General features: G+C 47.6%; 1 protein-coding gene across 8 annotated transcripts in view, besides 2 other annotated features; it reads right to left on the bottom strand.

Annotated features, from left to right (window-relative positions):
• The window catches only part of CDH13 (cadherin 13), a 1,173,672-nt gene extending 1,167,338 nt beyond the window's left edge, over nt 1-6,334 (bottom strand). For all 8 annotated transcript variants that reach the window (NM_001220488.2, NM_001257.5, NM_001220489.2 and 5 more), the window contains exon 1: nt 6,166-6,334. In NM_001220488.2, the coding sequence (NP_001207417.1) occupies nt 6,166-6,245 (80 nt within the window). In that variant the 5' untranslated portion in view covers nt 6,246-6,334. The remainder of the gene's footprint in view (nt 1-6,165) is intronic.
• Nucleotides 3,050-4,249: an enhancer, noted in NCBI's record as "CDK7 strongly-dependent group 2 enhancer chr16:82662659-82663858 (GRCh37/hg19 assembly coordinates)". NCBI's record gives its function as "activates an origin of replication core promoter dependent on BRD2, BRD4, P300/CBP, MED14 and CDK7 cofactors, with strong dependence on CDK7, by STARR-seq in HCT116 cells {active_cell/tissue: HCT116}" and the evidence as "EXISTENCE:reporter gene assay evidence [ECO:0000049][PMID:35650434]".
• Nucleotides 11,850-12,350: an enhancer, noted in NCBI's record as "H3K4me1 hESC enhancer chr16:82654558-82655058 (GRCh37/hg19 assembly coordinates)". NCBI's record gives its function as "activates a minimal SCP1, AML or CMV promoter by ChIP-STARR-seq in primed H9 embryonic stem cells {active_cell/tissue: H9 hESC(primed)}" and the evidence as "EXISTENCE:reporter gene assay evidence [ECO:0000049][PMID:30033119]".

The following is a 12,714-nucleotide window of genomic DNA, read 5'->3' as shown; positions in this document are numbered from 1 at the left end:
AAGTCTAAGTAGAGTAAGTTATTGTGACGTTCTGGTTATGTCTATACCGTGAGGGAGCAACACTCATGGAATGATGATGCTCAGCTGTCACTGTTCTCCAAGGACAGCCATGCTCTTGGTAGAACACTACGTAGAGCAGGGGTTCCCAACCTCCAGGCCACAGGCCAGTACCAGTCCATGGCCTGTTAGAAATCAGGCCACACAGCAGGAGGTGAGTGGCCCGTGAGCAAGCAAAAGCTTCATCTGTATTTATAATGGCCCCCCAGCACTCGCATTACCGCCTGGGCTCTGCCTCCTGTCAGATCAGCCGTGGCACTGGATTTTCATAGGAGTTGGAATCCTGTGTGAACTGTGTGCGTGCATGGGATCTAGGTCGCCTTCTCCTTATGAGAGTCTAATGCCTGATGATCTGTCAGTGTCTCCCATCACCCCCAGATGGGACCATCTAGTGGCAGAAAAACAAGCTCAGGGCTCCCAGTAATTCTAAATTATAGTGAGTTGTAGAATTATTTCATTATATATTACAATGTAACAATACAGAAATTAAATGCATAATAAATGTAATGTGCTTGAATCATCCCAAAACCATCCCCCCAATTCTAGTCCGTGGAAAAATTGTCTTCCACGAAACCGGTCCCTGGTACCAAAATGGTTGAGGACTGCTGACAGAGAGGGTATGCAGGCCTCTATATGATCCCAGGGTTTCAGAGTCCCTTGGCTGCTGGTGCGTGATGACATTTTGTACCAACACACTGGTGTGCCAGGGCTCGTACTGACTCAGAGCTGCAGCGTGTCACTTCTCTGCATGACTCTTACACCTGAAGCAATGATCTGGGTGCTATGTCTCTCTGGGTGCCTGTCCAAAAGTACTGCCAGTAATGTGCTCAGGGAGGGGCTGCAGTCCCCTTGGTCATGCTGTTCCAAAGCACACATCAATGGAATTCAATCACAGGGAAGGAGAAAAGGCCAGTCCCTCCCTTTCCAAATAGTCCATCACTGAGAAATAAACTGCATCAATTTGATCAAACCTCAACATTTGTGAAAGCAGAGGTCCCAAACTCAAAAAGCCCTAGGGGCAAGCAGGCAAAATTAGTGAGCACAGAAGGCTGGGTAGTAGAGAGTGGTGACGATTATGGCAAGCTACGGAGGCACGTCCTGCCTAAAGAGGGCAGTAGTGACTCAGCCCTGTCAAGTACGGCCATGTTGAAGTGTGGATCTAGGGTTGCCTGACCTGACTTTTTCAGAAATGCTAGAAACCTGGATTTCTTTTTTATTAATGTACAATTTGCAAAACATTTGAGCCAAACAAACTGCATCCATGGCTAAATTTAGCCTGTGGCTGCTACTTGGCAACCTCTGCCCAGAAGCCAGAGTTGCAGGTTTGGGATAGATGAGTTCCATTACCACCAAGCAGATGTCTCGAGGTTCAACTTGCTAAGCCAGAGGGTGACACATTCACCTCCACAGACCCTGGCTCAGTCAGCACTTCAAGTTAGAAATGTCCTTTCTTCTCCTCTCCTGCCTTCCCCCAAGCTGCCTCTCTCAGCAGAGAAAGATGACTTTCCACCCTAACTCTAGAATAAGGCCACTGCTGAGTGCCTACTGCAGGAGCAAGAGATCCTACAGCCCAGCCATTCATTGTCTGTGCAGCCTGTTCATACCTGAGGAGCCAGGCCTGGGATCCCAGGTGGCTGCAGAAGAAGCGGGCTGTGGGGAATTATATTGGCAGCATCCTTCAGGAGGGTCAGATTCTCACAGGTGCATGGGTACCTGGCTGACAGCTAAATAGAAACAATGCCAAAACCACTGGTCACTTGGTTTGATTCTGTCCAGCTGATTATTGTAATTGGATGACAGGGGGATATTTCCTTCTCCTTTTCAATGAGTGATGGAAAGTGAGTGGACCTAGCTCAGGAGTCACCCTTCTGGGTGGTTATGTAAGGGGGAAGGTTATCTCCTTCCACAGGCAGAACTGTTCCTGCCTTTTGGCTACCTAAAGAATGAAATCAAGTCCAACCAAAGTCAAATGCCAGGAAATTTCAGAACTTCCTCACATTGCGTATTGCACCGTCTACAAACATCTTTGAAATTTTCCCTGCTCCAATACTCAGAGGGGATACAGAGTCAAAGAATGAATTAGAACAGAACCAACTACAATAGGGGAAAAGAAAGAAAGCAAGAAGAAAGCTAGCGAGAAAGCAAGAGAGCAAAAGAAGGAAAGCAAGAAAGAGAGAGACACAGAAATAAATACAGTGAAAAATGGCAGGATTTCTCATTTGGGGGTGATTGTGGCAATTAATGTGGAATAAGGAGAATAGTTTTGTTTTGATGGAGTTGCTGCATTGAAGTTCTTTAAAATGAGCTGTAGATTCAGAATTTTGTAATGCTGTGGATGGAGCCCTCTTCTGGAGAAATTTTTCAACAGGTATTACAAGATCAAAATGCAGAGATGTACACACTCACTCAGACGCGCACACAGAAACACTGTTGGCTACGTAGATGATATGACTGTCATTCAGGTGTAAATTAAATCCATAGTTTGTCCTTTTCCTACATTCCACTAAATATAAATTAACTAGACTCCCCAAGCAATTGTATTTTTGGAAGGAAATAAGGATGTTTTCAAGAACCTAGCTACACTTTAACCTAAACATTGAACTTCAGATTGAGGCTCAGTTTACACATCCAAGTGCTGATGCTTTTAGATAATGCAGTTATTGAGTATGTTGGTTTGTTGGGCAATTTCACTATAACACATAGAGGATACTTCTGGAAGTAAACAGATTTTACTTAACGGAAAACCCAAGGGCTAAAGATAGAAAAGGGGAGAAGGGAGGGAGGCAGAGTAGGAGCGATCAGCTAAGATGACTGTTGGGGCTTTTAGTATAGACTGTGGAATTACACAAATTCCAGATTACATACTCAGCTTTGCAGTTTATTAAACCTGTTTTGGGACTTGCTAAAAAAAAATATTCAGACAGGTGAACTCTATCACTGACTCCTTTCACTACATATTCCATTTCCCTAGTGCTCTGGAAATCTTACAGGCTGTCATGTATTGACCCTAGGGGGGGAGGGGGCAGCACCCTCTTCAACCCTGTGTCCTTTTCCTCATCCAAAAAGTTCTGCAAATAAACACTGCTCTTAAAACATAACACACAAATTTGCAGGAGCACTATAAGACACTGATTCTCATTGAAAATCCTGAAAATCAAGACTCTGACCCCTAGAGAGAACTCCCCACTTTATAGCGAAATCTCAGAATTCCATGGAACATTTTCAGTCACTCCCAAGCGACTGTCCTCCAAGCCTGAACCCCTCCCTAAATTCCTAATTCTTGGGGGATTACTCACTCATTGTTAGAACTTTTGGTTAGTTGTAAGTGCTACCCAAATAGGGAGGGGAATCACATTTACCATGGAATTTCTTGCTCATTTCTTTCTTGATTTGTTTCACAGTCATTACTTATCATAGGCAAATTCCAGAAGCCACTTCTGGGACAGACTTTCCCAAAACACCCCAGGGGATAGGAGAGGTGACTGTTCAACGGTGCCAGCTTCCAGTCATTGTTGCTTAGAATTCCTCACCTCCTACCAAAATGCCTAAAACAACAACCAAGCCAATAAGCTTACAGAGATTGATGGCTTCCAAAGCCAGACCCGATGCTTTACAACTGTGGTGGAAAAAAACATACAGGCTTGCCTGAACACCACCAGGGCCGAGTGACTAATTTGTTTTATTACATTGTTTTTCCCTTCTGTTTTCTCTCTGCCTCAGGAAAGTTGTGTTTTTGCTCGTCGACTCAAGGCCTCGAAGACTTTCCCCACTTTTTTCTATGGCACACAGAGTTCTGCACGTGAACTTCTTGCTGGTTAACTGGATTGCATCAAAATGATTTCTCTGTGAGGTACTATTGCTACCAGGATATCAATTACTATCCTAATGTGGACATTTGCTCTGATATGCATAACAATTGAAAATAGAAATAAGCCTCTCAGGGCAATCATTTCAATTCACAGCAAAATCTCTGCTTCCTTCATCTAAATAAATAGAGTGAGCCTTCAGAACCCACCTGTGCCAGCCTGGCCCTGGGTGAGGAGACACACCAGTTCATTTGCAAAAAGAACCGTGCGCAGAGCCCTTAGTGCATAAAAATCGATCCTGGGGCCCTGTCACGTGGTCTGTCTTGCTTTAAAGGAGGCATAACTTTGGGCAAGCCCTGGAATATGAACTGAGGTTGAAACCTGCCAAGAAAGAAAGAGGACTGTGAAGTCCTGGACAAGGCAATGGTAAGTGCTCTCAGACACCGACAGCTCCCAGACTGGCATGCATTGCATAGGACATCCTGTTGAATGCAATCCTATCCACTCAGCAGTCCTAGGAAGGCAGCAGATTATTTTACAATGGAGAACTTGGAAGCTCAAAGAGGTTAAACAACTTGCCCGGGTTGGTACCACTAGCAGATGGCAGGAAGGATCTGTCTGAATCCTTTCTGTCTGAGGCATGCTCCAAACCGCCTTGCTAAATTGGGGTATATGTACACACATACAGCCTTGGGGTCTCTAGGGTACAGGACATCTGGAAAACTGGTTCACAGCCAGGCTTGGGATCCATGGCAAGACTCAAGGCTGTAGGGACCCCAAGATAATCAACCAGAAAAGCCTGGTAGAAAAGGAGCTATAACTGGGCAGTCCTTAATCGGGACTGTATATCCAAGAAAGAAGTCAGGAGCTTGGGAGCGGGCTCAGCAGCCGGGCACTTGAATCTCCCCTGGTACTATCACCCATCACTGCATTTCTGAGATGTTAGCCCATTTCCAAAGTCTAAACCCAACATTGCTCTAACAGTGGTCTCCCTTAGAAGTCTGCACCAGTCTCCCCATCCCAGACAGTCCCTACCTGGGAACCCAACTCCCTTCCCCTGCCTTTCACCCGCAAACTCTCACCTGAGCCTCTACCCCGGCCAGGAACTCAACACTCATTCCTAGCACCCTGAGGCACTCCCTGTCTCTTTCCCTCCTTACTCTGCCCGGCCCTGCCCTGCCCTGGCTCTTATCCACCCACTTGCAGGCTGCCAGCTCACTCCAAGTCCCAACGCCTGCCAGAGAGGCGATGGGGGACTGGATCGGGGTGCTCTCCGAAACCACAGGCCCCTGAGCAGCGCAGGGCGTGCCCCCCGCAGCGGCCAGCACCCCAGGCCTGGCCTCGGAGCGCTGCTTTCCTGCACTCAAACTTCCCGAAATCTCTGAGGTGCAGAGGTGACTGCAGGCGGACCGCATCTCCCTCGCCCCCTCTCCTGGTTGGCGTGCCCTTCCCTCGCGCCGTGGCGCTCTGAGGGTTAACAAGCAGCTGCAGCCCGGGTGGGCAAGGCTTGAACTTTTCTCTGCGCTCCGCTCCCGCTCAGGGAAGGCAGCAGAGGCGGCAGCCCGGGATCTGGCCGGAGCTCCAGCTGGCTGGACAATAGGGGTGCGGGGGGCTGGGGCCTGCGCCCTGGCGGGGGACACGCTCCGGCCCTTTCGGGCCCGGGGTCTGGGAGCAAAAGGACCCCGATGCGGGTGCGGCCGGCGCCGGCGCCTTTGAGCGACAGCAGCAGCCGGGCTGAGGCTCTCTGCTGCCCCGAGGCGCCTTCCAGCGGGCAGCCGGGCTGTACCAGGGGGCCCGGGCGCCCTGGGAAGTCGGTGGTGCCTGCTCGGCCTCTCCAGCCCCGCATCCCGCAATCCGGACCCGAGCAGCGCTTCGGCCGCTGGGCGTTGGGCTGGGGAAAACCGCGGCTCGTTGGAGTCGCCTCTAACTGAGTCTTTCTCCAATGCACCGAGCCTCCGGAGGAGGGAACCAAAGTTACCCCACTTGATGTGGGCGAGAATGTCGCCCCTGCTAGCAAAAAAGGACTGGGAGCTCTCTCCTCCTCCCGTTAACGAACGTACACACACACACACACACACACACACACACACACACACACACACGCACGCCAGAGTGGGAGCCTGTGTGTGGGGGGTGCCTAGGATCTCTGGGCTCGGAATGACCTCCCTACCGAGCCCCGATCTGTCTTCGCCGCCGCGACCGGAGGCCCCGACCCCCCGAAAGCCCCCTCACCCTGCCCGTGCCGGGCGATCCGAATGCAGAAACGGGGCGCAGAGCGCGCCCGGCAGCCCCTCTTCCCTACCTGGGACAGGAGAACGCACAGAACGAGCGGAGTTCTCGGCTGCATTTTGTCCGACTAGAAGCGCCCGGCGGCGTTTTCATTCATGCACGCGGCTGCACTGAGCATATTTTCCGTGGGAGCCAGGCTTTGAGGAGAGGCTCTGCCTCGCCAGCCAGCCAACTTCCCAAATAGATCAGCAGCAGCATCACGAAAGCATTGGGTAGAGGCTGATGACCAGGACCAATGGCTTTACAAGACGGATTCCTTCCTAACGCTCCCTCGTTTTGCATGGCAGATACGGGGTGAGCACCTCGCGAGGAGCGAGCCCCGCGGAGGTGGCATCCCATTTGCTTCTTTGGACTGTTGGGGCTCAGCCTCACAAATCACGCTGGGCAATGCCAGCTGATTCCACTTTTCCAGAGAATGGAATTGCACGGGGGACTGGCGGCCACTTCCAGCCTAGTGCAAAAAGATTCTCTTTATTAAAATGTTAATAAGATCCACTCTATTTCCAATAAATCAGATAAAATGGCCCCAGCAGTTCCAGCCCTTTCTACGCCTGGCAAGGCTTGGCAGTGGATTTTTTTTTTCTTTTTTCCTTTTTTCCCCCCACTGTGGCCCAAGTCATGATGGTGTTTGGTGCTTCCCTGCCATCTCACAAATCACAAAGATGACAGATCAATTCGAGCTTGCAGAAAAAATTCCATTAAGGGGCAATAGATTTTATTAACTGCTCAGGTGAGAGTCTGACTAGCCACCTACTCCTCAAATGTGCATCTGGCACCAAAGCTGGGATCTGGATCGGAAGGAACTTCTTTTTGTATATGGATGTTACCTTTCAGAAGCTCTGAACTACCTCCAGGTACTCAGAACAGCAGTAGTCACTGCTTAAGGGATTTTATAAATGGGGGGCTTTGGGACTGAGGGTAAGAGGGACATCTAGGTCTGCCTTCCCTAATAGGAATCTAAGAAAATGCAGGGAAGACCTTACTGTATCATTTCCATGCAGCCTTCCCTTAGAAAGAATTTAAGGTGTTTTACAATAAAGGACATTTGTGCAATAGAATTTATGAACCAAAATAGAAAATCTGGGCCAGAAGGAAAAGTTCAGCAAACTGAAATGACAAGCCCAAATTCTAATGTATTTGCTCTGATTTGGATAAGAGCTTCCTGATAGCCAAAGCAATAAAAGAAACATAAGTTACATAGTTTTGTTGTAGAAACATGCATACAATGTCTTTCAGCATTATTTTCCATGGGCTAAATACCGGAATAAATGCATTATGTAACACGTAACATAGCAGGACACTGAGCAATGGACCATGCCAAGATCCAGTGGATGGGGATGTATTTCTAGCATCTGGCACAGGGCCTGGAACATGGAGACAGCAATTAGTGTGTGTTAAAGAAATAGATGGCTAGACTCAATCAAGATGCAGCAGAAGGCAGGGAGGGGCAAGGAGTCTGGAGCCACATTGTCTAGGCACAGCCCCCGGATCTGCCACTTACTTGTAAATTACTCAAACTCTCTGCCTCCATTTGTTCACAGATAAAATGAAAACACAAATTCTACTGAACTCACAAGGTTGTGGTGAGGATTAAGTGATGACATAACCACTGAATAAATATAAAGTGATGTGCCTTTTAAGATTCCTTCATTGGCTGCTGTTTGGTCAGAAGGTCACCTCCTGTGGTCCCAAGGTCATTGATAAAGATGCAGTGATGTCTGAAGCTTGGCTGCTGTAGCCAGCACTGGCCCAACAGATGGCAATGTTGGCAAAACAACCCCCAGATGAAACTGGGAAAGGTGAATCTTGCTGCTTCACCCACTCATTTCCTTGCCTAAATAGGGTCATCTGTCCCTGAGCCTCTGATCAATACGGTCCGACAGATGACGTCACAGATCATGACACTTTGGAATCCATGTGTGTGGAGATCTAGCCTCACGTTTCCCACAGGTGGGAGTAAACCAGAGAACTTTGGAGTCAAACAGGCTTCAAATCAAGGCATCCTGAAATATCCGGACTTTTCTCCACTCCAGGGAAGGTGCCATCTTGTAATTCAGGGCCAGCTAAACTGAGTCCATGGCTTAGCAACACAAAGATAGGGAAAGAGAGCAGAGGACAGCTTGGGAGGTGATAAACCACAGTGAGGGACTAGACTGCAGAAGATGAGGATCTAGCTAGGTTTCCATCTGCAGCAGCTCAGTTAAGGGAAGCAGTCCCTCAGAAGAGGGAGTTTTCAAGGCTGTGTTCTAAGGACAGTTCGGTGCTGTCAGTTTTACAGTTCTGCTGGCCTTCTGTGGTCTCCCCATTCCCTTGTCCTTAGTGCTGATGACCAAATATTTCCAATTTTTCCCCTTTTGGGATCATGGTGGGATTGCATTTACTGGCCCCCTTGTTGCTGGGGTGGGGCAGTGTGTGTACATCTAGCCAATGAGCCATGTGCAAAAGTGCCATGTCCCTTCAAGCCTGGAGCATTTAATTGCCAGTGTCAGGCAGATTGGTTTCCCTGGACGTGCTTTTTGCCCCAGTATTTCCCCAAGGAGGGGAAAAATCTTGGGTGAGACAGCTTGGTTTGGCCAAGGGCAATTCTCTGGTTTGTCCTCAAATTCATCAACTATATATAAAAGGAGGCCATTGGCAGTACGACCAGTAATGAGAGTCTGTGATGCCCAGGCCATAGAAGACCTCATGAGTCTGATGCTACCAATTAAGATGGATGTCGTTTGGTGAAAATCCTGCTGACTCTGTCCCCTGCAAAGTCCTGCTCAGGCATTTGCAAAGGTCCCAGGCTTTTTTCCTGGGCTGTTCTGCTGGCAGGCAGAGTGGCTCCAGTAAACCTTGCCTGATTCCAGGTGGGTGTGCCCAAAGGGCCAGTCTTCACTCCTTCCTCACCTCAATCCCCACAGATTGGCTTTTAAGGAATGAGAGGAGTTGTCTTCTGGAGTCTCCCTAGGCATTGAGGCTCACTTCTGTAATCCCACGAGGTTCAAAACATGCCAAGCCTACTAAGGTGGAAAAAGATTTGTCAGAAAGATTAGACCTGAACTGAGATCTTCAGATTCCACATATATGAGGCAAGTCAGTTTGGTACCCTAAGACTCAGTATGTCATCAATAAAATGCGAATGATAACATGATAACACTCCCAGGACTGTTGTAAATATTGATGTTTCTCTTCCCCTCTATCATCTATTCCTCTCGACTTTCAGAGAACGTGCACTTCAACAAAGAACAAGAGATCATATTTTGTCCAACAAAGACAGAAGAAAAATTATTTCATTCCAATGATAAAAGGCTTCTGAAGAAGAAATCCATTCTTCGTTTTGCTTTGCTTTTTATTCAGTTCCCTAATAAGGGTTTTTTGGCTGATTAATTGATTGATGTGGCAAATAAATACTAAAGTTGAGCCCTACGTATCCCCACTCCACCGCCTACCCCGTATCATCCCCCGACCAAGCCCCAGCTGCTGTAGCATCTGTGGGCTCCTCAAGAAGCTGTGTCTGCCTTTAGACACATTCGAGGTTCACACCCCTTTTCCAGACGCATCAGCCTAGCTTTGGCACGGAGGGAATAATCCAACAGCCAGTAGCTGCCTCCTGTGGGTGCCAAGGGTTGAGTTTGTTTCCTGTCCTTGGCTGATGTTGATGAAGGCATTCCACAGTGGGTGGATGTGGCTGTGTGAGTGCGTGCATGTTCCTGTGTGTATGCATATAAGCACATGGGTGTGTGTGTGCTGGGGGGAGGGAGTGACTGGCATATAGTCCGGCAGAGATAATGTATTCAAATTTTGTTATGCTTTCAATGTGCTGCTATGATGAGGCATTTGTATAGAGCGGGATTAATCCAGCTAGGAGCCCTTATGCAACAACCCAGTGATTAGGCGTGTCTGGGGACCTGGATAACAGAGACCCACTTGGACAGCATGCAGGGAAGCCTGTATCACACAGCACTGCAACATACCTTCATGCTAATGTCTCACTCCCTACAATGGGAACACCTGCTAAAAACACCCAAGATTAGGACAATGCACCGTCCTACAACAAGTCTCCCTGGCTACCAGAATGCTGACCAAAAGTAGCATTCCTGATCACTCTTAAGCCACAAACACTGCTTCGTGTTTCTTCCTGGCCCCCTATGTTACTTGACCTTCTGCTACGCATTGTTGCTTGCGTTGTCATCTCAATCCTTCACTCCAACCTGCATCTGTGCCCTTTGCCCCTTGGCCTTGGGTTTAGCCATGCAACTTCTGTGACAAATGAAATGAAGCAGAAGGGATGGGGTACCAGTTATAAGCTCAGGTCCCAAGAGACCCTCTGTGTTTTAGCTTACTCTCGCAAAAGCTCCTACTGATGCCTTGAAAAGAGCATTTGTGGGCTATCCCGCCGGTCCTAGGAGGAAATATGAGCCCCTCATGGGCCCACAGATGCTTGCCCAGCCAAATTTGCCCAGCTCAGCTGATCAGCAGGTATGTGACCTGAAAATAAACAATTGCTTTATATTTTGAGGTAATTTGTTTTGTAGCAATAATTAATGAGTGATTACATCTGTTGGCTTGTTGTCTGTCTCTTCCTCTGGAATGTAAGCTCATTTCTGTATTTTTACTGCTGCGTGCTCAGAACAGGGTCTGGAGCACGGCAGGTGCTTAGAAGACTTGGTTTGAGCGGGTGAATTAATTGGCTTTTGTGTTGAAAAATGTGTGATGCTGAGAGGCCCATCACATGTAGCTCCCTACGATGCAAGGTCTTCTCACAATAGTCCAGACCAGGACTAGACACAGTGAAGAACATGTGTGAGCCTGTGGGTGTCTGAAGATCTTTTGTGGAGGACACACAGGGTGTGATATCCTTCTGAATTTCCTCGATGTAGGCAGAGCCCACACATCTAAGAATAAGACAAAAAATACTCCTTCATCTTTTTAGGTTCTGCCCTAATACAGTGTCCTCTGTGAATATGTTTAATACAAGCATGACTTCCACACTAGCAATGGAGATGAAACCAGGGGTGACTTTTAGGCCATCTCAGTTAAATTGGCCCAATTGTCTTTAGTACTTCAGTCCCTCATGAGAAGCAAAACTGGGCATTCAGACACCAATTTTTATTCTCTGAACAAGAAGCAGTTAAAACCCCCCTCTAGGTGTCTCCCTTACCCAAAATTAGTGGCTGGGGTTATTTTTACACAGAGAATCATCTCAGTGCCAATTTAGTATGACAATGACGTTTACAGTGTGGCCCAAGACTGGCAGCATCAGTATCACCTGGAAACTTGTCAGCAATGAAAAATTCCCAGGCAGATCAGGCCCCTAGTTCTACTAGTTTGGAAATTCAGGGGTGGAGTCCAGCATTCTGTGTTTTACAAGCCCTTGGAATGTACACTTTGAAAACCAATGCTCCAGAGAGTTCTCCACTACTCACTCACAAATATTTATTTATTCATTTAAAAAGTATCCCTAAAGTGCCTATTGCATATTAGCCCCTGAGTTAAGCAACAGGGAAATAAATTATGATGCATGGTGTGTATGCTTAAGAAAATATGACTAATTGGGAGAAATTATGTTATAATGTGCTACAGGGGGTGCTGAAACACAGTCAAGGTAGCCAGAGGTATGAAGGATCAAGATGTGTTTAAGAAAACACGAGGGGGCCGGGTGCAGTGGCTCACGCCCGTAATCCCAACACTTTCGGAGGCTGAGGCGCGTGGATCATTTGAGTCCAGAAGTTCGGGACCAGCCTGGGCAACGTGGTGAAAACCCATCTCTCCAAAAATTACAAAAATTAGCTGGGCGTGGTGACACATGCCTGTGTTCCCAGCTACTCAGGAGGCCAAGGTGGGAGGATCACTTGAGTCCGGGAGGCAGAGGTTACAGTGAGCCAAGATTGTGCCATTGCACTCCAGCCTGGGTGACAGAGCAAGACCCTGTCTGAGGGAAAAAATAAATAAATAAAAAATAAAAAAGAAGAGACAAGGGATTCACTGCTGGTTTCTATTATGTGTCAAAAACCATCATGGGTCTCCACTTCGCAGATGTTGTATTTTTCATATCCATTGATGAGAAAAGAAATAACTGCAAAGGAAAGCTCATAATTCAACCCTTCCTTCTAGCAGAATTTGAAGTTCATTCTTTACAATCGCATCTAGGTGAAGGTCCAAAATGACAGTGCCTGTGTTTGTGTCAGGGGGTATTATTTATTCACTTGACAAGCAACGCTTACTGTGTATTTAGATAAGATCTCTTGCAATGACTTCACAGCCCTCCTGTCCCAATCTGCCCATCTCTGGTCCCCAAGTCAGGAATCATTGAGCTAGAACAAAGGGAAAGTGAAGAAAAAAAAGGCATTTGTGGAAGTGGCTGGTAACCAGAGGAATGGCAGAAGGCAAGGCTGGGCAGTTTAGGGGTTCAGATGAGAACCAGCTTAAGCATCAACCTTAGGGAGACTGAACTTTATCCTACTGCCAAGAGGGAATCATTTAAACTGCTTAAACAGAGGTTTAATATCTAATTTACAGTTTAGGAAGATCATTCCAGCCACATTGGAAGATGGGTTGAATTAAGGGCCAGAATAGAGGA

The sequence above is a fragment of the Homo sapiens genome, chromosome 16 (assembly GCF_000001405.40).
Source record: "Homo sapiens chromosome 16, GRCh38.p14 Primary Assembly".
Lineage (NCBI taxonomy): Eukaryota > Metazoa > Chordata > Mammalia > Primates > Hominidae > Homo > Homo sapiens.
Note: the sequence above shows the minus strand (reverse complement) of the source record. Positions and strands in the feature narration are given on the sequence as shown.